Here is a 27,621-nt window from a genome sequence, read left to right on the forward strand (position 1 = left end):
TCAAATTTTATAGATGATTGTTTACATTATTACATCATTTCATGTGATATTATGTAATAAGAAGCATATATTTGGTTTTCATCCCTGGTTCCTGGCACAGAGCTTCTAAAATTCTCATACTTTCCTAAGTGATTGGGGTGCTGGGTGTCTTTTACTCTAATATTTGGTCATTGACCCCAGTTCTGGTTCCTGACAAAGAGCTCCTAAATCTCTTGGAATTTCCTGGGTGATGGGAGCATCTTTTGTTCTAATCAGGTGACTCTTGATGGGCTCCTGGCTAGCTTCAGGATAGGGGCTGGATGCCAGAAAGACCAAGGCCTGATCAGGAGCTTGGAACCTTGGAACTTTTCACCCCACTGTACATCTTTCAGGAAGGGGAGAGGGGCTGGAGATTGAGTTAATAATTGATCATACCTATGTGATGAAGTCTCCATAAAAATCCACCAAAGGCGGCGTCAGAGATCTTCTGGGCTGGTGAACACATCCATGTGCTGGGGGGATAGCACACCCCAAGTCCACAGAGGGAGAAACTCCTTCACTCCTCCAGGCCCTTCCAGAACTCACCCTATGTCCTCTTCACCTGGCTCATCATTTCTGTCCTTTCAGTATTCTTTAATAAACCAGTAAATGTAAGCAAATGTTTCCCTGAGTTTTGTGAACCATTATAGCAAATTATCAAACCTGAGGAGGGGCTTGTGGCAACCCCCAATGTGTAGCCAGGGCAGACAGAAGTGTGGGCAACCTGGAAATCTGCTACTTGTGATTGGCATCTGAACAGGCAGTCAGTCTTGTGGGACTGAGCCCTCTGATTTGTGGGATCTAAAGCTAATTCTAAGTAGTGTTAGAATTGAATTGAAATGTGGGACACTCAGTAGGTGTCCAGAGAGTTAGAGAATTCGTTGCTGAAAAACCTCCTACATATTTGATGTCAGAAGTGTCCTGTGAGAATCGAGGAAAACAAAGTCTGTTTTCTTTATTTCATTTCATATTTCTTTTTTTATAATCCTAGTCCTTTCTTTGGCATTAATTAGAATAACTTCTCACTTTAACCTTAGGAGAAAGCTAGGAATCCTCATCTATTTGTTCATTAATTTATTCATTCATTCATTCATTATTCATTTATTGTGCAGGAACAATGTGAGGTGCTGAAAACACAAAAGTGAGCAAATTTTACAGTGGCCCCTGCTTCCATACCCAGTGTACAATGTACTGGGTATGTAAACAAACATTGATTTTATTCCCAACCTGGTAGTTATCTCTGTGTCTTCTGGAATGTTTAACATGATCTTTCCTTAGACTTTTTCTTCTTGCTATAGGTTCCCTAAAAAGCATACTCTGAGATAACGATTTGAGTGCAGTAGTTTATTTGGCAAGGAGTGGGAAGATGAGGGAGTGGAAAAGTGGGAAGGAAGAAAACCAATAAGAATGCGTTCATGAGCAGATTTCTGCAGTGAACAACTGGGGCTCAATCCTGCTGGACACCTTCTGAGAAACTTTACAGAATGTACTCTGCACATCAGCCCACCAAGGGTCAAGGAAACTGTTCCTGCCTGTCACTGGTGGAGGGGTGCTGGGAGCATTAACTCCCGGGCACTTCTGGTCTACCTTTCCTGTGGCCAATAGTGCTCCTGCAGCCAGAGAACCTCCCCAGGGGCAGATGTCTGAGGTAGAAATCCAAAGCTGGCAAGGGGCCTACCCATGGAAGATGCCAGTGGTCTCAGAACTGGGCTGAGGGGACATGGGTAGGGCACTGGGGTATCTATTCCAGAGGAAAGGGAGTTATCTTTGGAAGGCATATTTACATACAGTGGGAAGGGGCAGTAATGGGAGAGGAAATCAGACTGTGGAAAGTTAGTGTAGCTCAGAAAACAATCACAATCAATTGGTCAATAGTATTGATTGATCACAATCAACATTCCATTCTGAGTTGTTAATAAATCACATAGCAAAATTGATGATGTCTTTCTGGGCTTTGTATGTTGGTCAGGTTTTCTCTAAGATGCTTTGAAACATGAATTTTTTAAAAAAGATTTTTCGGCCAGGCCCAGTGGCTCACGCCTGTAATCCCAGCACTTTGGGAGGCCGAGGCGGGTGGATCACAAGATCAGAAGTTCGAGACCAACCAGGCTGATATGGTGAAACCCTGTCTCTGCTAAAAAGTACAAAAATTAGCCTGGTGTGGTGGCAGGCACCTGTAATCCCAGCTATTCAGGTGGATGAGGCAGGAGAATCGCTTGAACCCGGGAGGCGGAGGTTGCAGTGAGTCGAGATCTCACCACTGCACTCCAGCCTGGCGACAGAGTGAGACTCCATCTCAAAAAAAAAAAAAAAAAAAAGATTTTTTCAAAATAAGGTTGTAGATTTTTTGGGTCCACTTTGATATTTTTAATGGGAAAAGTGAAAATTGATAGATAACTACAGTGAAAGCTATGTTTGACAATAAGATAATAAGATAACATGGGAGGAGATAGCATAGAAGAAGGCGCACTGGCTTTGGGGTGGATCCTGAGTTTGAATCCTCAGTTTCTCCACTAACTAGCAGTGTGACCTGAGGCAAGTTGCTGATTTGAGCCAGGGTGTTCTTATCTGGAAAATGTAACAATGCTCTCTTCATCAGGTCGCTTTAGTTCTCATTTCCCCAGGAGCAGACGCTGAGAAGAAAGGCTGTCCACCCCCAGGAGTTTGAAAACTTTAAAGGACTGCCTCTGGAAATGTGTATCAGCCCAGGACTATCCCTCCCTCAAGTTTCCTCTAGTAAAATTGCTATTTTTATTTTTATGATTTTTCTTGTTAATAACAAGCTATTGTTAGAATGGCATATTTATTGTTGCTATGGGTTGCTACTTTTTCTTATAAAAAGAATGTGTCTTAAAGGAGATAAGTAGTTTTTCTATATTAATTACATACAAACAAAATACTCTTGGCCAGGCATGGTGGCTCGTGCCTGTAATCCCAGCACTTTGAAGGGCGAGGCTGGCAGATCACTTGAGGTCAGGAGTTTGAGAACAGCCTGGCCAACATGGTGAAATCCTGTCTCTACTAAAAATACAAAAATTAGCCACGAGTGGTGGTGCACACCTGTAATCCCAGTTATTTGGGAGGCTGAGGCAGGAGAATCATTTGAACCCGGGAAGCAGAGGTTTCAGGGAGCTGAGATTGTGCCACTGCACTCCAGCCTGGGTGACAGAGCAAGACTCCGCTCAAACAAACAAAAAAACCTCTGGGAGACAGAATTCGTTCTGGCAGAGTGAGGAATGATGGGAAGACAGAAATGGGAAAACTTATAGCCCCACATAGAGCAGAATCTCACGTGGAATCCAAGGCTTGTCTCTTCACCCCTTCTCCACCTTCCTTTTCTTTTCTTTCTTTCGTTTGTTGGTAATGATTTCTTCTAAATTAAAAAACAAATTCCCTATCTGACGTCTCAGGTGGTTTTTTTGTGACTGTGGAATAGAGTGAGCAAACACTATTTTTAGGAAGCCATTACAAACTTACAGTACAGGACTTTAGCCTGGCCACAAACATCACTTCTTTGGGCTTTGGGAGACTTTTCTGTCTAACCTCCCACAGGCAGGGAGGCCTGTCTTAGTTCAGAAGTTTTAGGTGCGCACACTGTTGACAGTTTCGTGGCTTTGGAATTGTAGACTCGTCCAGAAGCTGGACAGATAACGTGACCGAGGCCACAGCATTATTCCTGGAGCATCTGGGGCTGAGCCATTTGCTGCGTCCCAGCCCAGAGCATAGGTCTCAACTGTGAAATTGTTCGGGTTTTCTGGGTGATAAAATGGGACCCTTTGAGGCTTGGTTTGGGTTGAAGCCCAAAGGCTGAGAGTTAACAAAGAGAGCCAAGTGGCCCCAATTTTATAAAATGAGGTGCTGGATGTTCTGAGCTGGAACTTGCAAATGGATGGGGGTGAGGGGCAGGGCATTTGAAGGTGGAAGTAGGAGGGCAGAGGCCAAATTTTCCTGGAGTTTTCTGATTGCTGTTGCATTTCCCACTGGGGATGGGGAGAGAGAGCTCTGCCCCTAACTTTGGCCAAAGGAGAGGGGCTATAAGAGAGCCACTGGGAGAGCCTCCTCTGTGGTCCTAGAGTGTGGGGGACAGAGTGGACTGGGGTGTGACACATGCCAAATGCGGAGAGGCTGAGGCTACTTGCCTGAGGAGAGAGTGAGACTAGAAGCAAGACAGCAGGAGAAACCGGGCTGCCCTGGGAGCTAACTGCCCTCCACCACCAGCAGCAGCAAGAGTGTGTGTTCCTCAGGAACCAGGAAAAGAACATAGAGGAGCCAGTGCATGGTGTATTCATTTCCTAATGCTGCTATAAAAAAAATTACCACGAAATTTGTGGCTTAAAACCACAGGCATTTATTCCCTCATAGTTCTGGAGGCCAGAAGGCTGAGACACTCCCTTCAGAGGCTCTAAGGCGGAACCCATCCCTTGCCTCTTTGGGCTTCTGGCGCTGCTGGCATTCCTGGGCTGTGGACACATCACTCCTCTCTCTGCCTCCATAGTGACATTGCCTCCTCCTCTTCTGTCTGTGTCAAATCTCTCTGCCTCCCTTTTCTAAGGACACCTGTGATTACATTTAAAGCCTGCCTGGATAATCCAGGATAATCTCCCCTCTTCTGTCTATGTCAAATCTCTCTCTGCCTCTCTCTTATAAGGACACCTGTGATTGCATTTAAAGCCTGCCTGGATAATCCAGGATAATCTCCCCTCTCAAGATCCTTAATCACTTCTGCAGAGTCCCTTTCTGACATGGAACATTCACAGTTTCAGGGATTAGGACGTGGATGTCTTTTGAGGCCATTATTCAGCCTACTGCAGGTAGAGTCCCATCCAAGAGAGTCTGTTCATGGACCAGTGGGTGACCTCAAGGCTCAGAACACCTCACTCATGAAGCAGATGCTTTGACTGCCCAGTGATTTTCACTGCAGCTGCAGAGGACCTTTCTGTGCAAGGCAGACTCCTGCTAACTGTGCCTAACACTAAGGGAAGGCACGGGTTCTGCCTCAGAGACATCCCCGAAGCAGCTGAGAAAGGATGAGGGGGCAGTTAATGCACCCTGGGAGCAATCCTTAAATGACAGGGAAGGGAGCGGGTGGGAAGTGACCCAGCCTACTGTCTTTCAGGCTACTGTCTTTCAGGCAGACAATTCTGGGAGGTTTTCTGCAAACCTTCCAGATCCTGGTAGAATAGGACCCTCATTGCCTACAGCAGTAACTTTAAAACCGCATGCTTTTTTATGGCTTTTCATCCTTCTCTCTTCCTCAATTCTGAGTCCTGCGATCACTTCCCAAATGAGCTACCTATACCCAAATTCTTGTTTCAGGCTGTGCTTTTGGTAGATCCCAAGCAAGGACATAAGGTTCCCAGCATGGAATCCCCAAGAAAGCAGCAAAAGTGCTTCATGGGAGTCGACACAGTGAACTTCTATGCTCAGCGGGCACCTTTATTGGATAACTTATGTGCCAGCTTAGTGAAATCTTTCCTATTCCTTAAACCACCCTCTCACCACCCTCACTCCCTTCAACCATGGAGGAGGCAGAGGCAGGTAGGGTGGGAAGAGGGGAGGAAACAGGGCAGAACTAACCATGTCCCACACTCCTGTCCCCCATCACTCAGGGTCCCAGGCTGAAGCAGGTCCCGGCTGCAGCCTACTTACTGCATTCAGTTCTTTCAACACACGGCATGCATTCATCAGCCCATTTACTCTGCTCGCATCTGCGTTTCTTCTAGAGGCGGAAACTGTTCATCAGCTAGCATCGATACTACGATCCTGCTTTTAAATATCCTCTGCTGACGGTTACACTGTTCTGAAGAAGTAATCAGATGGTTGCATGGCATGTCTATAAAATGAGAAGAAGAATCTTACCTCACAGAATGCCTGGGTGGATGCAGTGAGCTAGCTCCAGGAAAGTGACTGGCACAGAGTAGATGCCCTAATAATGGAGGCTTCTCTCTTCTACAGCACACATTGCAAGCTTCCTGAGGGCAGCTCTTCCTTCCTGGGTCCTTGGCAGAGTGCTTGGGACACTGTAAGTGCTCAGGGAATTGTTTATTGAAGGAAAGGGTGGGAGGGTCAGGAAAGCAGCTCTTAATCATTGCCCCAGATGCTGCCAGTGCCCTGGCCCCATCCCCTCGGGGCTTCTCATTGCTGGGAGGCAAAGCTGCTAACTGCAAGCACCTGCATCCATTTCCCAAGGGCTTTCCCTGTTGGCTCCACCTTCCTACATGGGGGGTGGGAAGTACGGAAAATTAATGTTCCACTTAAAGCACTGCTCAACCAATGACTGTGAGCAGTTGTGAATAAATATCCTGCCCTCATGTCCCTTGGGTGGGATAACCATGAGGTGCGTGCTCTATACCAGAGTTCCCCAGTGGGACTGAGCTCTGGTGACTCACAGTGGTACCTTTTTTTGTGAGACTAGGGTCTCACTTTGTCACCCAGGCTGGAGTGCAGTGGCGTGATCTCAGCTCACTGTAGCCTCAACCTCCTTGACTCAAGTGATCCTCCCACCTCAGCCTCCCAAGTAGCTGGGACTACAGGCATGCACCACCACGCTTGGCTAGTTTTTTACTTTTATTTTTTGTAGAGACAAGGTCTTTCTACATTGCCCAGGCTGGTCTTGAACTCCTGAGCTCAAGTGATCCTCCTGCCTCAGCTTCCCAAATTGTTGAGATTGTAGGTGTGAGCCACTGCGCCCAGCCTGGCAACTTTTTTGATAACTCTCTGTACTGGTTTCCTTCCTTATTTATATTTCTTGAATATAACTTACCAAATAAACTATTTGCATGCAAAAATCCTCGTCTCATGGTCAGCTTCTGGGGGAACCTAAATGAAGACAACCACATGGCTGAAATTTGAAATGTATATGAGGCTTTCTTAAGGGAGGCCCTTTTCTTCGGAACTATGACATTGACTCCTCTTCCTGCTTGGTTTCAGATTTCTGTATAATGTGTGGAAGGGGAGAAAATTATATAATCTTTTTGCCACTCTCATAAATTCATAATTGAGTCACCCTTCTGAAACAAAAGACAGATCAACAAAGGAAAAACAGGTATGCTTAATAATGTATACATGCCGTGTCCATCATGGGGGAGAAAAGTAACTCTGCAAAGTGACTCTCAAAGCATTGGCTGGAAACCTGAGGCTTTAAGCTTTGTTTAAGTAGCATTTTAACAAAAAGCAATGAATTTTAGTGCAGTGACAAGACAAAGGAGAGAACAGTTCCAGTCTCTCAAAGGGGGAAAGCTGTGGGAAGATACTCATGAAGTAAGGTCTGCTCGCAGGTTTCTCTGGTGTCTGCTAGTGCCGTCTCTAGGCTGATAAGTGGCTATCTCCAGTAAGACGGGATTTATGTCCTGCCTTTAGGCAAACAAAGGAGAGGCAGAGAGTCTCCGTACGTCTCAGCTGTCTTTAGCTCACCAATCCTCAATATTTTAGGGACAAATATTTTGGTTTCCTTCAGTGTAAATTACTTGGCCTACCGCAGATTCATTCCAGGCCTGTAACATGCCAGTTCACATCTGCTCTGTGCTGGCTGGGGCAGGTGTCTACTTCCCCAGTTTGCTGGGGCCAGGCCCCAAGGTGGCCTCACAGCTGTTGGAAGAATACAGGTCCTCATATTGCTGAGGAGTCATTGTCCTGGTCTGATTTGCCTGCTATTGTGAAGACAGTGGTTGAGTATTGCTACCTTTCTCCTTGGTTCTCTTAATAGGAGTGAATCTTTTTGGAGACTCTCTCCCAGTGCATCTGCTGTGGGTCAGTGTGTTCTTTTTTTTTTTTCTTTTGAGACAGAGTTTCACTTTTGTCACCCAGGCTGGAGTGCAATGGCATGATCTCGGCCTCACTGCAACCTCCACCTCCCGGATTCAAGCAATTCTCCTGTCTCAGCCTCCCGAGTAGCTGGGATTGCAGGCATCTGCCACCATGCCCAGCTAATTTTTGTATTTTTAGTAGAGATGGGGTTTTCACCATGTTGGCCAGGCTGGTCTTGAACTCCTGACCTCAGGTGATCCACCCGCCTCGACCTCCCAAGTGCTAGAATTACAGGTGTGAGACACTGCCCCCGGCCATGGGTCCATGTGTTCTTGTTGCTAAATGATGTGGGGAACAGTACAAGACAGTGGGAGAGCCTGGAAGAACTTGGAGTAATTTTCAGGTAAAGCTCATTGAAGTTGCTGAAAATGAAACAATGTCAAGGTGACATTCGTGGCCAGACAATTTGTGAAGGTTTATTTTTAATAATGGGAGTTCTGGGTTTTCTAATCACTTACTCGAAGATAGGATAAAATGCAATGTAAAATTAAAATTTGAAAATTCAAAACCATGAATTTTCTAGACCATGAGTCTCCAGTCAGTAACTACCTGACTAGCAGGATGGTTTGGAAGGGTTTTTCCCACACTTTAATACCTAGCCCAGCGCCACCCAGTGCTAAACTAATAAGGGGGTAACTTTGATATTAAAACCCAAAGCTGGGAGCTGGACACACTGGTGTGTGCCTGTAGTCCCAGCTACTCAAGAGGCTGAGGCAGGAGAGTCACTTGAACACAGGAATTCCAATCCAGCCTGGGCCACATAGTGAGACCCCATCTCTAAAGAAAAAAGAAAAACTGGGAAGAAGTAGATGCTCTTTGTGCATAATAAGGCTTAGGGAACACATGAGCATAAGATCGACCATCACAGTTCACGAGAAGTTCAATTTATTTATTTGATACATTCCCATCTAGAGGCCAGTCCATAGTGAGGGCTGCTTTTCTCACTCTCCACTCCAAGGATGCACAATTTCCTGTGTTCCCCCATCCAGCAGCAGAACCCTAGGGCAGAGGATGGCTGACAGCAACCCATGCTAAAGGTCATATCCCCACAGGAGGACCTCAGCCAGGAGCTGAGGCAGAGGAGCTAGGCTTATGGGGACTGTGGGTTCGGGAACGGAAATTGAATGAGGATGGGAGGTGGTTGAGAGGGTCTGGGGTGTGTCTCCCACCCACTGCGTGTCAGGAATGAATCTTGAGACACAGGAGTGGAGCCTGCACCTAGGGTGCCCCAGACAGAGAGTCCCAACCATGCTGGGACTCTGCATCTCTTGGCTCATGTCTCTTGAGCCAAAGCAAAGAACTAAGCATTATTCAAGAGTGTGTGTGTGTGTGTGTGTGTGTGTGCGTGTGTGTAGCGGCCAATGTGAGGGTGTGTGTGTGTTTAGCTAAGGAACAGAGGAGGACATCTCTTCCCCCCTCCACTTACCTTCACACATCTGCATTTCTTCAGTCTGAAAGGTGGGAAGATGAAGAGAGCCAGGCACGCGTCTAACTGGGCTGTCTAATCCTTGTTTTCCAAAACAGGCAGCTCAGGCTTGGGCTGCATTTTTTTTCTGCCAATTTTTGTACTGTAATTTATGTAACCATTGGTAGATTTTTAAACAGTATCTTTTATAGTAGGTTAAATATGGCTGCAAATTCTTTGCTACTTCTCTCACTGAGAGACGGAGTATAATGCCTGACTAACGGAACATGGTGGAAGGGATGTTCTGGAACTTCTGAGGCTTGGTCTTAGCAAAGCTGTGGCTTTTGCCTGTGTCTCTGTGAACATTCTCTGTGGGAATGCTGAGCTACAGTGTAAAAAGCCCAAATGCTCTGTCCACCATGCCAAGAGGCCGCATCTGGGATGTGGGTATACTGGTCAACAGTCACTGCTGAGTGAGTAAACCTGTCTTGGATTCTAGAACAGCCCATCCACTAAGTGACCAGAAGAATCACCTGACCACACCCTGCCCAAATTCCTGACCCACAAAATCTTGAGATAAAATGAAGTGATTGTTGTTTTAAGACCCTAACTTTTGGAGAAGTTTGTTAAGAAGCAAGCAATAACTGGAACCGTAACATAGAGGAAAGAACATCTGTGGTGTTAGATCTGGACTCAAATCACAGCTCCATTATTTATCAGCTACGTGATCTTTTCTAGCTTCTTCTGGCCTCAGTTTCCTCCTGTGTTAAACAGAGGTCATTCTAGCTACCTCCTAGCCTCATCATGAAGATGAAATGAGAAAACAGATGGAAACAGAGCCTGGCTCATAGCAGGTGCTTCAAAATGTTTCTTTCCTCTCTTCTCAGCCTCACCATGCCCTCTTCTCTAGGGCTTTCTGGGATGCCCAGTGAGGGGAATGCAGCAAACTATATAGCACCTCCACTACTCAAGATTTTGGAGAAAAGAATTCCAGGAGAATGTTACTGAGAAAATGACTCTGGACCCCTGCTCCAGAGAAACAAAATTATTTACCTGACTTGCCTTTGAAAAATGGATTTACTTGAAGAGCTACTCCAATTTAATGAAGAATTGGGGGAGGAAATCAAGGGAGTCACAAAAGCAAATTAGATTTTTTTTTTTTTTTTTTTTTTCCTGAGACAGAGTCTCACTCTGTCACCAGGCTAGAGTGCAGTGGTGTGATTTCGGCTCACTGCAGCCTCCGCCTCCTGGGTTCAAGTGATTCTCTTGCCTCAGCCTCCCGAGTAGCTGGGATTATAGGCGCCCGCCACTATGCTCGGCTAATTTTTGTATTTTTAGTAGAGACAGGGTTTCACCATGTTGGCCAGGATGGTCGCGATCTCTTGACCTCATGATCCGCTCGCCTCGGCCTCCCCAAGTGCTGGGATTACAGGTGTGAGCCACTGCACAAAACCAAGAATTAGATTTTTTAAAAAACAGATACCTTGGGCCAGGCTCAGTGGCTCACATCTGTAATCCCAGCACTTTGGGAGCCCAAGCCGGGCAGTTCGTTGGAGGTCAAAAGTTCGAGACCAGCCCGGGCAACATGGTGAAACCCCGTCTCGACTAAAAATACTAAAATTAGGCCAGGTGCAGTGGCTCACGCCTGTAATCCCAGCACTTTGGGAGGCCGAGGTGGGCGGGTCACGAAGTCAGGAGATCGAGACCATCCTGACCAACATGGTGAAACCCCGTCTTTACTAAAAACACACACACAAAAAAGCTGGGTGTGGTGGTGCGCACCGGTAGTCCCAGTTACTCAGGAGGCTGAGGCAGGAGAATCACTTGAACCTGGGAGGTGGAGGTTGCGGTGAGCCAAGACTGGGCCACTGCATTCCAGCCTGGCGACAGAGTGAGACTGTCTCATAAAAAAAAAAAAAAAACAACAAAAATTAGCTGGGTGTGGTGGCGTACACTTGGGAGGCTGAGGCAGCAGAATCATTTAAACCTGGGAGACGGGGGTTGTAGTAAGCCAAGATCGTGACACCGTACTCCAGCCTGGGTGACAGAGAAAGACCCCATCTCAAAAAAAACGAAAACAAAAACAAAACAAACAAAAAAACTAGATATCTTGTAGCCCACAGGCTATCCATTTTTATTCAAAGCATCAGAAGTAAGAAAATGAAGAAGGGCTCTGTGTGCCCATAGAGTGGGTGGGATTTTGCAATAACCGAGAAACATCAGTGGCTTTCAGGCAGGAGGCTCTCTCCCTCCCTCTGTCAGTCATCTCGGAGATGTCCAGAGGCTGCAAGATGCCCAACCATGCACAGAGGTGGTGAGAACCGCTACCGTGGCGGCTCCAGGAGAAGAGGCCCAGAAATGGACATTTGAATGATTGAAACTGCCTAAAGCACTCCTGCTTTCAAAGCTTGCTCCATGTCTCACATTGACATGGAACAATTAGCTGAAATGGGAAACATATCAACTCAGGCTGCCCTCCCTCTTATATTTCAGGCAGTGTTCTACTCTACACAGCAAGTCCCCAAACAGGTCTCCCTTTCTTTCCTGCCTGCAGTCACTCCCAGAAGTTTACCTCTAAGGAGCTCATGTTCATCCAGACTTTGAGGCAGGGCTCACCAATGCTGCCTTCTGCGCTCCCCTCTCTGTTCTCATCCTGGTCCTTAATGTGCTCACATTCCTGACACCTGTGAGATGTCATAGCATGGCTGCCCTCTCCATGACGTCCTGACCTGAGATTTGGATGCTGCCCCTTCCTGCACATTTCTATAAACTAGGCTGCATCCCTGGGAACTGGAACTCCCTAATAAGTCAGGGACATGACCCCCAAATTCTAAACACTTGGACCTCAGAATCCACCACCTGGATTCGTTCCTGGCCAAATAAATGACTGTGGCCAGTATGTGTGTGTGCTATATTTATAAAGCACTTTTGATGTTAGGTTTATTTAAGCTTCACAATTCTTCAGTGAGGTAGGAAATAATCCCATTTTATGGAGGAAAAGCTGAGATTTGGAAAAGTTATCCCCAAAGTTACACAGCTACTAAGGGACAGAGCTGGACTTCAAATCCAAGTTGTTTGATCCCAAACTCAGTGCATGTCCACCATTTCATCCTACCTTTTGATTACGGTTGACATTATAAATTAAATTTTCATGTCCCTAAATTGGATTTTTAAGTAAGCAAGCAAGATCTCTTCCTACCTAAGCACCTAGCACATTAGCTGGAGAACTAACTGCAAAGCGCTGAAGCCACACAGATTGTTACCAACTCAGCTCTCTCCCCAATGGATTTGCCATGAGTTTTTTAAAGGATATTAAAAGTTACCAATTATGGAACTCATTCTAGGTGCCAGGCCCTGTGCCAGTCTCTTTACATCCATTATCCCACTTAATCTTAATATCAGTTGTCTAAGATAGGCATTATTCTTCCCTTTTTGCACACCAGGAAACTGAGGCTCAAGAAGTCAAATATTGGCTGGGTGTGGTGGCTCATGCCTGCAATCCCAGCACTTTTGGAGGATCACTTGAGGTCAGGAGTTTGAGACCAGCCTGGCCAACATGGTGAAACCCCATCTCTACTAAAAATACAAAAATTAGCCGGGCGTGGTGGCAGGCATCTGTAATCCCAGTTATTCAGGAGGCTGAGGCAGGAGAATCACCTGAACCCGGGAGGCAGAGGTTCCAGTGAGTCGAGATCTTGCCACTGCACTCCAGCCTGGGGGACAGAGGGAAATTGCGTCTCAAAAAAAAAAAAGAAGAAGAAAAGTAGAAGACGAAGATGAAGAAGAATAAGAAGAGAGAAAAGAAGAAGAGAAGGTTAGAGAAAAGAAGAGAAGAGAAGGAGAAGGAGAAGGAGGAGGAGAAGGAGAAGGAGAAGAAGAAGAAGAAGAAGAAGAAGAAGAAGAAGAAGTCAAATATCTGGAGAAGAAGAAGAAGAGGAAGAAGAAGAAAAGGAAGAAGAAGAAGAAGAGGAAGAGGAAGAAAGAAGAAGAACAAGAAGAAGAAGAAGTCAAATATCTGGAGAAGAAGAAGAAGAAGAGGAAGAAGAAGAAGAAGAGGAGGAGGAAGAAGGAGAAGGAGAAGGAGAAGGAGAAGGAGAAGGAGAAGGAGAAGAAGAAGAAGAAGAAGAAGAAGAAGAAGAAGAAGAAGAAGAAGAAGAAGAAGAAGAAGAAAATACAAATATCTGGAGCCGGGATTTGAGCCTGGCCCTTGACATATGTCCTAGGCCTCTTACACTCTCCTTACCAGCCCCTGTCCCTTAGGCCTGGGCCCCTGATTTGCCTGTCAGAGAAGCCAGAGAATCTGGGCCTTTTAGCTTTCATCCTAGGAGGCTTGAATAATCTCCTTCTAAGGGGGTACTAAGGGGGACGCCCCAGGGAGAACAGGGTTCTGATGAGGGATGGAGGAGAGGGGTGTGATGCTGTACTGGCTTTGTTCACTAACACAGCTACTAAGGGAGCTTTGAGAGAGGCCTCTCAGTGAAGAGCCCGGGTCAACCCCCATTCCCTCGTTCAGGTACGACATGCCCTGGGAAGCTGTGACTCATTAGGGCTCCAGAGTCTCTCACAGGTCATTCCTATAGGATGTGCTTGTACAAGGTCTATTTGTATATTTGTGTCTTTATCATATTCTGAGGGATCTGGATTTCTGCCTTCTCCAAACTCCCCCTTCTCTTCACCTTAGTTTGTCTGTAGGAGTCAGGAAACCCAGTGCGTCCTCTTGACAGAGGGGAGGTTGTTCTAACAACATGAAAATGGGTGGTCTTTATTCATAACGTGGGACTAGGTCACCAAGATGACAGATTGGTAACAAGGTCTTAGGTGACCAGTTCCCAGCATCCCGCAAAGGGTTTTCTCTACTAAGCAGGAAGTCTGAAGTTGTTTCTCTAGGATGGTCCCCAAGTCTTGTCTGTTTCCCATCACAGCCCTGAGCGGGAAACTGCAGCGGACTCTTGATTTGGATGGGAAACTGTTTATTTAGTGGGGATACCTTGGAGTGAACTGATTCCCGTGAGCAGGTTTTCCTGTGATCCGCATCCTACCCATGGTGATTTCTAAGCAACAAAATCAGCCCAGGAACAATGAGGCCAATCACAAATAAGTCCCAGTGTGGTCCAATGGTGTTGTCCAGTTTCAGCCAGTTCCATCTCGTTGTGAACTGCTGGCAAGAGACATTCTCTCAAAAACAATCCAAGCTTCCCACCTCCACTCAGAGCCACCATCTCTTCCCAAACCCACCACCACCAACCCTCCTCCCACCCATTCCCTTTGCTTCCTTCAGTCTTGGAAGACACAATCTTCGCTTGCTTACATCTTCCACAAGGGGCTTAAATAGCACCTTTAGAATAACCCCAAAGATTTAGACACTTTACTTTTTTTCAAACTGTAGCTGTTTGTGGTATCCCTTGCCACCTGCCGTCTGCCTACCAGTCTCGGCTATTGATGGTAAGAACTGTTTTGAAGAAGTATATATAGCACATGTCACTGTGCTTAAGGCTTTGAATGTAGTGTGTACTGGAAAAGAACATCTGCTGAATGAATTAATTGCTTATACTCTGAAGTGTCAACACATACTCAATAGAACATGCAGAATTACTCTGCATGGCAAGTGTAAGACTCTGAATTTTACTTCTCAAAGGAAAGCCAGTCCACAAGAGACTCCCTGATGGGCCTTGTCACTTTGTCCCTAAGAGTTGCTCACTGGAGACTTTCAGAGATTCAGGACCTGTTCAAGACAAACTTACATTAAAAAACAGGATATCCCGGAGCAAATGCGTAGTTTCCAGTTTCATGACGGCAAAGAGCACAGGTATGTGGGCATCTGGACTCGTTTGAGCAGCCATGTCGTACAATCTTCTGGCCAAGTGAATGTCCTAGAAGGAGAAGAATAGCCCTACCCATCAGATTCTGTAGGGGTAAGTAAACAGACACCATTGTTCACAATATCAAATGTAATTAAGGTTACAGGTCTTAAGATAGGGAGATTATCATGGATTATCCAAGTGGACCTCAGATAATCAAATGAACCTTTAAACAGAGTTATCTCAGGGCTGGGGATGGAAGAAAGAGAGATGTGGTGGAGGGAGACTTCAGATTGATTCTCAGCATGAGGGACTCAACTTGCCATTGTTGGAAGGGGCCACATGGAATGAGAAGGAATTTGGACAGCCAATAAGGAAACAAGAACCTTGGTCCTACAACCTCAATTAACTGAATTCCACCAAACAACCGGAATGAGCCCTGCAGTGGATTCTTCCCCAGAGCCCTCAATAAAGAACAGCCTTGATTTTAGCCTCGTGAAACCCCAAACTGAAGACCCAGTCAGATCACCTGGGCTTTTGGCCTACAGAAACCGTGAGATAATAAGCTTGTGCTGTTTTAGGTCCCCAAATTTGTAGTGATTTGTTACAGCAAGCATAGAAAACTAACACAATCTCCAGAAAGCTTTCTTGGATACCCCTGGAACAGCTCCTAGTTGTGATTCCAACAAATAGGGTGGAGAATAGGGCCAGGCACAGGGGGGTTCACGCCTGTAGTCCCAGTACTTTGGGAGGCCAAGGCAGGTGGATCACTTGAGGCCAGGAGTTCAAGACCAGTCTGGCCAATATGGTGAAACCCTGTCCCTACTAAAAATGCAAAAAGTAGTCAGGTGTGGTGGTGCATGCCTGTAATCCCAGTTATTTGGCACGAGAATTGCTTGAACCCGGGAGGCAGCGGTTGCAGTGAGCCAAGATCATGCCACTGAACTCCAGCCTGGATGACAGAGTGATACTCTGTCTCAAAAGAAAAAAAAAATTGTACAGTTCTCTAAAATAAGTCAGAATACAGGTAGTTAGTAATCATTATCTACAATTCTCATTATCTTCATAGTACTTACCATACCTGAAGTTCTAGAATTTATTTATTCATTTGTTTGTCTCCAGGTCCTCAAAAACAAGGGCTTGGACTGTCTGTTCACCCCTGAATTCCCAGTCCTCAATGAAGTGCCTAGTACGCAGTAGGTCTTTGATAATACTTACAGGATGATGAAGAAACTATTTTTGGCTCTCATGTTGAAGACAGAGTCCTCAAATGATATAGTACTATATTTTCAGGAGCTTTTTTTTTTCATGAATTATGCCATGGCTTTTTTTTTCATCTACTCATGCCTTGTTTTATGTGTTGCTTTATTTTTGGTTTGCCCAAACAGAGTGACCGTAGACAAGGTGGAGCTGCTTTTAAAGGTGAAAGTGCCCTGGGCCAGTCCCAGAATTAGATTTTGCTTGGGTGCCCATGGGCTATTTTCAAAAGAAAGGGAAGAAGAGGAATTTTTCACAAACTGTGGTCATCCTAATATCTGTCTTTCTTGCTCCATTACTTAGGCTTTGATACTTGTGAATCCTTGAGGATGCTGTTAAAACTGTGTTTTTTTGCGGGGGGTGGGGGTGATGTCTTCTCTCAGCTGTGTTCTGCTTATTATAGCTTAAATATTTTCCAAAGCTTTATGGTCTGGTAAATTGATTTGTTGAAGAAAGAGGAAAGTTCTTGCTTAAAATACAATTCAGGAGATTGGAACAAATCTTCCTGGCAACATTAAATAGATGTTGTAAAAACCCTAATTTGTGTCTCTGATTCCAACAAATTCAGTGTTCATTTGAAAGCACCCTGCAGATGATAACAGCTTTCATGCTGCACACGTGAAAGACATATTGACTTGGATGGGACATTCGGGGAAAATCTCAGGCATTCATGCTTATTTCTTGTTTTGAGGCAGTCAATAGTTATTCACTTATGTCTTGCGGTAGAAGCATTACAATTCAGTCATTTAGTATTTTATAGTAAAAAATAGTGAGAAATACCATTAAAGTGGGATGAACTCACTCCTTGTCCAGGAGACCTCACAATTTGCAGTGTGTGTGGGGCTGGGGGGTGATGTGAAAGCCTTTCTTTAAAATTCCCAGAGAAGGAAATTCTTGAATGCTTCTAGCTAACTAGGGCAACTCATAAAAGAAATTTTAGTACTAGACTAGAAAAGACTCCTCATTCTTTGACCCTATTTAGTAAAAAAATCTAAGTCATGCAAACAAAAAAATCTCCTCCAGATGGTGTTTTGAAGATGACCACAGTTCATTAAATGAGAAGTCCACTACATACCCAGTCCACTTAGATTTAACTTTTCTGTGGTACATTTGAGTTTATTTTGCTTTAAATTCAGTGATTAAAGAGGTTATGTAAACCGAGCTGCAGACTCTTGTTAAAAGAACATGTTTTTAACTAAAATGTTATGTGGATACTGCCCAATATTCAGATGTTCAAAATAGCTTCTTTTAATTCAAAGATACAGAATTCTTCTGCAGTAAAATAGCTGGTTTATGAAAATTGTACAATTGCCCGATGCAGGAGTTTTCCAGCCCCAAATCTTTGGATGTCATAAAAAAAATTTCTTATACTGGGACAGAGCATGTGAATGGGAAGGTCGTTTTTGACTAATTTATTCTTATTTTCTTTTTATAAATATATCATATGTTAATTAGAGGGAACTTAGGAAATATAGAACTGAACAAATAAGAAAAAAAGCCACCCACAATCTCACTGTACAGAGATAACTACTGGTAATATTTTATACACATTCTTCTAGCATTTCATGTATATTCACATATACATACTTTTTAATTTAGAAATTTTTTACTCAGCATAATATTACATCTTCTGTTTTCTTAACCTAACAATATATTTCAAATAATATGCAGTGTCCTAATATATTCCGCTAGCCTATAATTTTTTTTTTTTGAAAACAGGGTCTCACCATGTTGCCCAGGCTGGAGTACGGTGGCAGGCTTTTGGCTTACTGCTGCCTCCACCTCCAGGGCTTGAGCGATCCTCCCATCTGGGCTTCCTGAGTAGCTGGGATTACAGGGACTACAAATGTGTGCCACCATGCCAGGCTGATTTTTGTATTTTTTTTTTTTGTAGAGACGGGGTTTCACCATGATGCCCAGGCTAGTCTTGAACTCCTGGACTCAAGTAATCTGCCCACCTTGGCCTCTCAAAGTACTGGGATTACAGGCGTGAGCCACTGTGCCCAGCCTAGTCTACAATATTTTTAACGGTTGCAGAGTATATTGTAATAATGGTTAATATGTATTAAATACTTACTGTGTGCCAGTTACCACTGTCATTTAATCTTCAGGACAATTCTATAGGACAGGTGATACTATTAACTTCACTTTGAAAATGAAGATATTGAGGCACAGAGAGAAAGTCACTTACTCAAATTTATATGACTTGCAAGTGGCAGAGCAGGGATTCAAATCTCAGATTGTCCCTAGGTTGTCTGCTTCTAGTATTCTCACTTAATCACTAGGCCACAAAGTACATTGTGGAATAGTATACCACTATACAATAACGTATATAACATGGCTTCTATTTTGGAGCATTCTCGTTACTTGTAGAAATTTGTTCTGTAACTAATAAAGCTATACACACACAAAATACTGTTTGTGCATATTTCTGATTATTTCCCTAGATGATAGATGTTTATTTCATGAAAAGTTATGATCATTTCTAAGAAATGTGTTTTCTGTCCTGCCATATTTCTGAGAGGGCCATTTTAAATACCTAATTTTAACTTATCCTTTCCAGAAAATAATTCTGGTGTTTAAAGCTTCAGCTGTAACACTCCATGGGTGGTCAGACCAGACCAATGAGAAATAAAAATGCATTGTGTCATAATCATTTTTATTTTTGACAGGTCTATTGATAATTTATTTGGTAGATGTGGTTTTGTTTTCTCTGCAGAATCCAAAAATACATGTTACCTAGTAGGTCTACATATATGTATTTGAAACTCTTCCCCAAAGGATAATTTCCCCCACCTTTCTGCCATACTTTAGAACAGCTTTCCTATCCATTGTCTTTAAACAGGCCTGATTTCTTCCATGTAAAAAGGTTGTCATATGTTTCTCGTACTCCATGGTACAAAAATATTTTTGAACAGGACCTGGCAGTGCTGATTCCCCTACCTGAGTTAGCTGGTAGGTATGTTAAAGAGGTAATCTTTAACATACTTATGGTACTTTATTTTTAATTCTTTTCAAGTGTGCGTGTGCCTATACATGACTGTCATTTTAGGCTTAACTATAGCTATGGACAAGTCTCTTCTGTAGTGGACTGTGAGCTCTTTGAAGGCTGTCTTGTTCTTATTGTATCCACAGAACCAAGCACAGTGCTTCCTGATATAGGAAATAGTCCTTGATAAATATTTGAGTGAATAAATAAATGAATGAAAAGCAGAGTGCAATACCATGATGGTTTAGAAGTAGATATCTTTTAAATCTGGGGGTTCTAGCCAGGTGTGGTGGCTCACGCCTGTAACCCCAGCACTTTGGGAGGCCAAGGAAGGTGGATCACGAGGTCAAGAGATTGAGACCATCCTGGCCAACATGGTGAAACCCCATCTCTACTAAAATACTAAAATTAGCTGGGCATAGTGGTGCGTGCCTGTAGTCCCAGCTCCTTGGGAGGCTGTGGCAGGAGAATTGCTTGAACCTGGGAGGCAGAGGTTGCAGTGACCGAAGATTGCACCACTGCACTCCAGCCTGGTGACAGAGCGAGACTCCGTCTCAAAAAAAAAAAAAAAAAAAAAAAAATCTGGGGTTCCTTGAGGGATTCCTAGAGGAGATGACATTGGAGCTGTTCTTTGAAAAATGGACTAGTCTTCAATGGGCATAAATATGGGGTAAGATCATTCCAGCAAAAGGATGATATCTCAGGAGGGCTCAGGTCAAGGTCTTTGAGGGGAAGGAATAAGTAGCCTAGAATCTATATAGGGCAAAGTGCTATATCACACCACTATTACCAAGGTAGGCTAGGTCACTGGGGGCTTTGAATGTGGAATAGAAGTCTGGACTTCATTTAGCAATAAAAAGTAAATAAGATTCTTTTTATTTGTATGTTTGCTTGTTTGTATTTTTTGGCGGTTTTATTTGGGGGAGAGGGTAGGATAGAGGGGTGGGTAGGACGGAGGAGGTAAAGGTTATACTTTATCAAGAATGACCTGTCAGTGCTTTGTTAGATGAATTATTTATTAAGATAATGCTATCTGTAACAAATCCCCAAATTTTAATGGCTTAACACAATAGAAGTTTATTTCTCCCCCATTCAGCATTCCAAAGCGTATGTTCCTGGTTGGTGGTGAATTTTTTTCATGTGGTAATTGTGGGGCCAAACTCCTTCCATCACCTGGTTTTGGGGTCCCCTAAAGCCTTTGTATCTCCTGGCGCCTTCAGCCAATGGATGGGAAAGAGACTGGGGGCAGCCACATCTACTTCTTGGCTGCCTTAGCCCAGAAATGACACCCTTCACTTTCACTTCCACTTCCACGCCCTTGCGAGAGCTAGCAGGTGGATCCAAAGGAGGCTGGAGAACATAGTCTTTGACTAGGCAGGTGCACCCCAGCTACAAGTCCTCACTATGGATGGGGGATTGCAAATCTTTGGTGAACAGAGTCATCTCGGTCACAGATTTAAAGGGAGAACACTAGAATTGAAGACCCCTGAGTAGTCTTTACTACAAGCTGAGGTGAGCAGAAAGTCAGACCTGAGCCAAGGTACAGACAGAAAGGATGGCCAGGAGGGGATGGGCAACAGGCTTTGTTCATGGTGCAATTTCCGAAGTACTTACAAATCAAGTATCAACTGAAAAACTGTTTCTTTGTTTTTTGGGGTTTTTTTTTTTAAGAGGGAACCTCGCTCTGTCACCCAGGCTGGATCTTGGCTCACTGCAACCTCTGCCTTCGGGGTTCAAGCTATTCTCGTGCCTCAGCTTCCCAAGTAGCTGGGACAATAGGCACATGCTACCTTGCCCGGTTAATTTTTGCATTTTTAGTAGAGACAAGATTTTGCCATGTTAGCCTGGCTGGTCTCAAACTCCTGACCTCAAGTGATCTGCCCACCTCGGCCTCCCAGTGTGCTGGGATCACAGGCGTGAGCCACCATGCCTGGCCCTCTGAGAAACAGTTTCATAACAACTTGTGTGTGAATGCTTGTGTTTCTGAACTACTTCAGGTCCTCTCCCAGTTCCTCCCCAGGCATTATTCAGTGTTCTCAGAACAATGATGCAGTCACTCCCATTATTCATTGTTCCCAGAACAATGATGCAGTCAGTGAGACAAGGAGCTCACTGGCTGAGACGCTTCTCAGTGAAGCTACTAGGATAGCTCACCTGCATCATCGCAGCCCCAACTTCCTTTTTGAAAGACAGATGATAAAAATAATGACCCATATTTTAATATTGATTTACCAAGAGATGATTTATACCTTTCTTCCCCAGAGGTCTTAAATGTCTGCATGTTTATAAAGCATTATTCCATATCACCTTCTTTGATTCTCAAAGACACTGTGATAGTGGTATTATACTCATCTTTCTCACTAGTTTGCATGAGGATTAACTAATAAAGAGGATTGCAAAGTGCCTCATTGAAGAAATGCTTAATTACTTGATGACTTAACTGCTGGGAAGGCCTATTCTCCTACTCTCTTTGCTTTCATTAGAACAAGCTTTGGGCTTTTAATTATCAGGATATTCATTTTAAGAATTAGAGAAGGTGATAGCACCTTGTAAATTTGACTCTGAGATGGCAAGATACCTCTGGATACTCAGTTATTATTTTTGTAATTGCTAAACAAAAGAAACCAAATAAAAACAAAGGGCAATGGTCCCTCATTAGCTCAGCCTAAAATTCTCATATCCAAGTGGGAGGTTAAGAGTAGTCCCTGATTTTTTTTTTTTTTTAATGTAGAGACTTTCTGTAGGAAAAAAAAAATAGACTTGTGACTGAAAGAGACTGCTCAAAATGAACTACCCATGATTTAACAAGAACCCTGGTAGAAAAGAACAGAAAACTGGCCAGAGAGAAACTTAAGTGTTTTCCTGAATGTATGAAACGTGTGTCTCAACAACTACTATTTGACATTGTGAAGGAAGTGCTTAGGAAACAGATCAGTGGTGACTCCAAAGAGGAAAACCAAACCCTCTGACAGTCCGCCAGCTGGGCACTGGCCAGCAGTGTGCCTTTCCCAGCATTGCTGGCTCTGTGTCCTGAGAGGACACCTGCCTGTCCCCAGGGACTCAGGCAAAATGGCCTCACCTAGGTGCGAATACAGCTGTCAGGGCAACCAAGTCCTTTTTGAATAACATGGTGGTGCCAAGGATAGGAAAGCTAACATGAATTTAACACATGGAGTGGGGTCACTTTATCCCTTCTATAGACAGTGCTTCTCCCATATTATTATGTTTTGCATGAGGAATGATGAGTAGAGAAAGGCTTTAATCTTATTGAAGCCTTACTTAGCAGTTGCTCTAATTCCCTTCTGATCTAAATAGCAGTCATTCTACATACTGTTTGACTACAAAGCCCTTTCATAAAATCTTATTCATTTTATTCTTAATGCCTGGGGCAGGGCAGATATCTGTTTTACTGAGGTGGATAATGGGTGAGGGGCCCAGGGATGGCTAAATAACATCCCAAGAATTATCCAATTTAGCTATCCATCCTGTCCCATTCTTACCCACATTTTACAAACATGGGAAGCTTACACTGCTAGAAATGGGGCAAACAGACTGGATTTGGATTTGACATTCTTTCCACTGCTTAGGGTGCCAGGGCTAATGAAAAATGATCAGCCAAAAGGCAGGCTGCAGGGGAGGACAGGATGGCAGGGATCCATACCGCTGAATAAGAAGCCCTTGGCTTCACTGTGCACCACTAGCAGTTCTCAAATAGGAAATTCCCTACCAATAATTCTCAATTACTAGCACAACCGGAAGAAAGAAGAGCGCATAGGAAAGCCGATAATTCCCACGTTATTTGGCTCTAGAAACGCAGCCAGGAATGAAAAGCTCACATGCTTGACCACCAAGAATGACTCACTGCGAGGCCCACTCTTTCACCAAAAAACAGGGTCAGATAGGGCTGGGTTCAAATTCTGGCTCCACCATTGACGAGCTCCGCAAGCTGGTTGGCCAAATGACATAACCTCTCTGCGCTGTGGCTTCCTGATGCATACACAGTGGATAGTTCTAGGGCTTATCTCGTTGAGTGGTTGTGTGATGTAAATGACAGAAACGCATAGCCCACTTAACCCAATGCCTGGCTATTATTATCGTTATTGATACTGAATACATCTTTCTCACTCTGTGACACCCTGATGTCATCTTCTGCCTTAATTACTCACTGTCTAAGAGATTTACTCAATACCACCTTGCAGTGCTGGCTGTTTTTCTAAGTGAATATGACTCATCGCCTCAAGTCAAGTGTAGTCTTGGGGGACTGGAGATTCACTCTCTTTGGCCTTTCTAGAGTATCCAGCACTGGGTCATGTACACAGTAGGTGCTTCATAAGACTTTTCTGGATTAATACCACCTTGGTATCCAGCTCTGGTCTCTTTTCACTTTCTCCTTGTTCCTGAGAGCTTGAGAACCAGTGGAAATTTTAATGGAAAGAAAGGCCCAGAGGTGAAGGAAAATGGAGACAGGGCCTACTGGAAAAAGCATGTGCTGCAAAAAGCAGGAACTTACTAGTTGAATTGGCCTAGACTAGATCTCTTCTACTCACCAGTTATGTCCTTGGCATAAATGGAGAAAATAACTTCTATCTCATAAGGTTCATATTAGGGTAAGTAATATGTATTGGCACAAGGGATGGATTTGGCAAATGTTAAGTCCTCTCCTTCCTTCCTCTACATTGATGACATCAATGAAATTCAAAACATTTACACATTCTGTCTTCTCACACAGCTGTCATTACTAGGTTTGAATTATTACCAGCAAAATTACCTTTGTGATGCCTAAGCCGTGTTCATACATATAAGCCAGATTGAACATGGCTTGCGCGTTGTGGTATTTGTTGGCTGCAATGCTGTAGTGTGTGGCTGCTGTTTGATAGTCTTTCTTAGTCCCATAGCCATAGTAATGGTAATCTCCAATTTTTACTCTAGCAAATGCATTGCCTGATAGAAATATTAGAGAAAAAAGAATCATAACTCAAATGATTCATGTATAGTTCTCAGGAATTCAACCTAGTAATCTTGTTTCAGTCCTTTAAAATATATATGTATCTATAGCCAAGTATAAAAAGGAACCAAAAACACTCAGAACCCCAGAACTGGAATTAGATATACTTTATGGAATACAAATATAACACTCAATGCTAACTGTTTTCATTATAGCGTAACATCCATGGTATAGTATGCATGTTTTGTTGTTGTTGTTGTTTGTTTGTTTGTTTGTTTTGAGACAGAGTTTCACTCTTGTCACCCAGGCTGGCAGGCTGGAGTGCAATGGCACATTCTGCAACCTCTGCCTCTCAGGTTCAAGCGATTCTCCTGCCTCAATCTCCCAAGTAGCTGGGATTCCAGGCGCCCGCCACCATGCCCGGCTAACTTTTTTTTGCATTTTTAGTAGAGACAGGGTTTCACCATGTTGGCCAGGCTGGTCTTGAACTCCTGACCTCAGGTGATCCACCCGCCTTGGCCTCCCAAAGTGCTGGGATTACAGGCGTGAGCCTCCGCGCCCGGCCAAATGTTCTTAAAGAACAAAAACTTACCAATTTTACCTTTTAATTTTTTTAAGTAGATTAACTCTTGGGAAGTTGGACCCCATCCCTCCCATTCTCAGACGTCACTCCTGAAGCTCTGCTCTCCTGCGTCAACAGTGTCGCCCTCTTTCCCAGATCAATCCTGTCCGCCATTCAAACACGCTCTGGCATCTTCTATGAACAAAAATAAACCCTCTCTTTATCCTGTGGTGTCTCCTTCTAGCTCATGCCCCATTTCTCTGTTCCCCTTTACACTGAACCTTTTCAAAAGTGTGTTCTATACTCACTGTCTCCAAAGCTTCACCTCCCATGGACTCTTCAACCCACTCCAAACTGGCTTCTGCCCCCTTGCCCGTGAAGCTGCTATTTTGAAGGTGGTAGATGACCTCCATGCAGCCAAATCCATTGCCACATCTCTGGCCTCATCTTACCCGACGTCTGAGCAGCACTGGAGTGATGGGCCCCATCTGCCCAAGCACTGTCCTGTCGCAGCATTGATGGCACTGCCTTCTCTTGGTTTCCCTTCTACTGCATGGGCTCTTTATTTCAAACTCTTGTCTGACTCCTCTGCCCACTTCCTAAATGTGGAATGTCAACGGCTCGCTCCCAACTCCTTTTTTTCTCTTTCTTCTTTTCCCTCTTTTCTCTTCTCTCACCTCTCCTCCCCGCCTCTCTCCAACAATCTGCTCCATCTCAACTCTTTCTCTGGGTGACCTTGTTTCGTTCCATTGCCTGTCTTTATTAACTATTTCTAAATTTATATCTACTATCTCTCTCTCCCTGAGGCCCAGGCTCTTATAATTGCCTCTTGATGTCTCCACTTGGATTTCAAACTTAAAATGCCCAACAGAGATTTCCTAGCACCCTACACCCGTTCCTCCAAACAAAATCATCAGTTTCTTCCCTGTCTCAGTACAGCACCCCCATTGTTCAGGCCATAAGTCTAGGGGAATTATTCCTAGTTCTTTTTCCCTCGCCTCCATCAGCCAATTCATCAAGTCCTGTTGGTTCTGCCTCTAAAACACGCTTAACTCCTGATATCTCCTCCACTGCCTATTCCAGCCTACAATACTACAATAGGCTTCAAACCCTTCTTTTATCTTCACTTTCCAACCCGTTCTTCACACAACAGCCAGGATGATCTTTTTTTTTATTTTTATTTATTTATTTTTGAGACAGGGCCTGGATTTGTCGCCTAGGCTGTAGTGCAATGGCATGATCTCAGCTCACTGCAACCTCAGCCTCCCAAGCTCAAGCGATCATCCTACCCCAGTCTCCTGAGTAGCTAGGACTACAGGCATGCACCAACATGCCCGTATTCACCATATTGCTCTGGCTTGTCTCGAAATCCTGGGCTCAAGCGATCCTCCCAATTCAGCCTCCCAAAGTGCTGGGATTACAGGTGTGACGCACCCAGCCAGCATGATATATATATATGTATAATATATGTATATGTTATATATAGTATATATGTAACAGTTTTATTGAGATACAATTCACATACCATCCAATTTACCCATTTAAAGGGTACAGTCAAATGGTTTTTCATATATTCACAGAGATGTACAAGCATTACCACAATTTTAGAATATTTTAATCGCTCTGAAGAGAAACCTCATATTGTTTAGCTAGAGGATGATCTTTTTAAAATGTAAAATCAAGTTATGTTATTTCCTTGTGTAAAATCCTCCAATGACTTTGCTTTGCCCTTGGAATAATAGTCAGACTCCTTACGACCTACAAGTTATGCCTCACCTGCCCTCTGCACAAGATCCCTGCATTCGATTCCTCAAGGCCCTCTACCTGGCAGGTTTGGAACACTCTGACTCTTCCCGTGGCTGGCTTCTCGTCATTCTCAGAAGCGCCAATGCCACTTCTCTCCTAGAGGCCGTCTCCGACTACCTTGTCTAAAGTGCTCCTCAGCCCCCACCCCAGAAGTTATCTACCTCATCTCCATGTTTTATTTCCTTCACAGCATGTCACTGTCATCTGATTTGCTTACTAGTTTATTTTCTCTCTTCCATATGAGGGCAGGTACTTCATGAGGACAAGCACCTTGAACTCTTAATCACTGACACAATCCCAGAACCCGGAATGGTACTTGATAAATACATATAGAATGAATGGATGGACATGCAAGGAAACTTTTTAGATAATGCTTTCCCTAGATATCAAGTACTTTAGAATATGACTGTCCAACAAACATGAATATGTCAAGTAGAAAAAACTCATGTGACTTTTTAAGATCTGAGACTTCAGTCTTTGAAGTCCACTTAGGGATGACCCTTAAGGGTCCCCTTGGGGTCTATGTTCCCATCCACAAAGAGAGTGTTGATTGGAAAGATGAAGGAACACTCATCTAGGACATCCATCTCAGCTGTGGCCAGCCCTTCTAGCATGGTCTCGGCTTACTCAGAAAAAGAGGAAGTGCCCTGTATGAGCTCAGGTCTAGCATTAAGTGATATAGGACTCCTTCCAAAATTTTCTCATTTGGCCCTAATGTAGTGCATAACATCCTTTGGAATTTATTCCTTTAGGTACCGAAGTTCTAATCTTCTAGAATCTTCTATTAAAATGTAGACACTTCAAAAAGATGTAATACCATGAGCCTTCTTTAAGTCTCTCTGAGTACAGCTAACACTATAAAATTTTTATTATTATTATTTATTATTATTATTATTTTTGAGACAGAATCTCACTCTGTTGCCCAGGCTGGAGTGCAGTGATGTGATCACGGCTCACTGCAGCCTCAATCTCCCGGGCTCAAGAGATCCTCCTGCCTCAGCCCCTTGAGTAGCTAGAACTACAGGTGCACACCAC

General features: G+C 44.0%; 1 protein-coding gene across 24 annotated transcripts in view; it reads right to left on the reverse strand.

The window, feature by feature from the left end:
* Positions 1 to 14,026: 14,026 nt before the first annotated feature.
* The window catches only part of SEL1L2 (SEL1L2 adaptor subunit of SYVN1 ubiquitin ligase), a 146,087-nt gene continuing 132,492 nt past the window's right edge, over positions 14,027 to 27,621 (reverse strand). For 11 of the 24 annotated variants that reach the window (XM_047440521.1, XM_011529374.3, XM_011529376.3 and 8 more), the window contains 3 exons: positions 24,042 to 24,214; positions 14,971 to 15,099; positions 14,183 to 14,387 (listed from right to left, as the gene is read on the reverse strand). In XM_047440521.1, the coding sequence (XP_047296477.1) occupies positions 14,265 to 14,387; positions 14,971 to 15,099; positions 24,042 to 24,214 (425 nt within the window). In that variant the 3' untranslated portion in view covers positions 14,183 to 14,264. Of the gene's footprint in view, positions 14,388 to 14,970; positions 15,100 to 24,041; positions 24,215 to 24,819; positions 24,976 to 27,621 lie in introns of those variants that run through there. The other 13 variants (NM_001363752.2, XM_047440522.1, XM_006723652.4 and 10 more) reach the window with 6 other exon arrangements.

This window comes from Homo sapiens, chromosome 20 (genome assembly GCF_000001405.40).
Source record: "Homo sapiens chromosome 20, GRCh38.p14 Primary Assembly".
Taxonomy (NCBI): domain Eukaryota; kingdom Metazoa; phylum Chordata; class Mammalia; order Primates; family Hominidae; genus Homo; species Homo sapiens.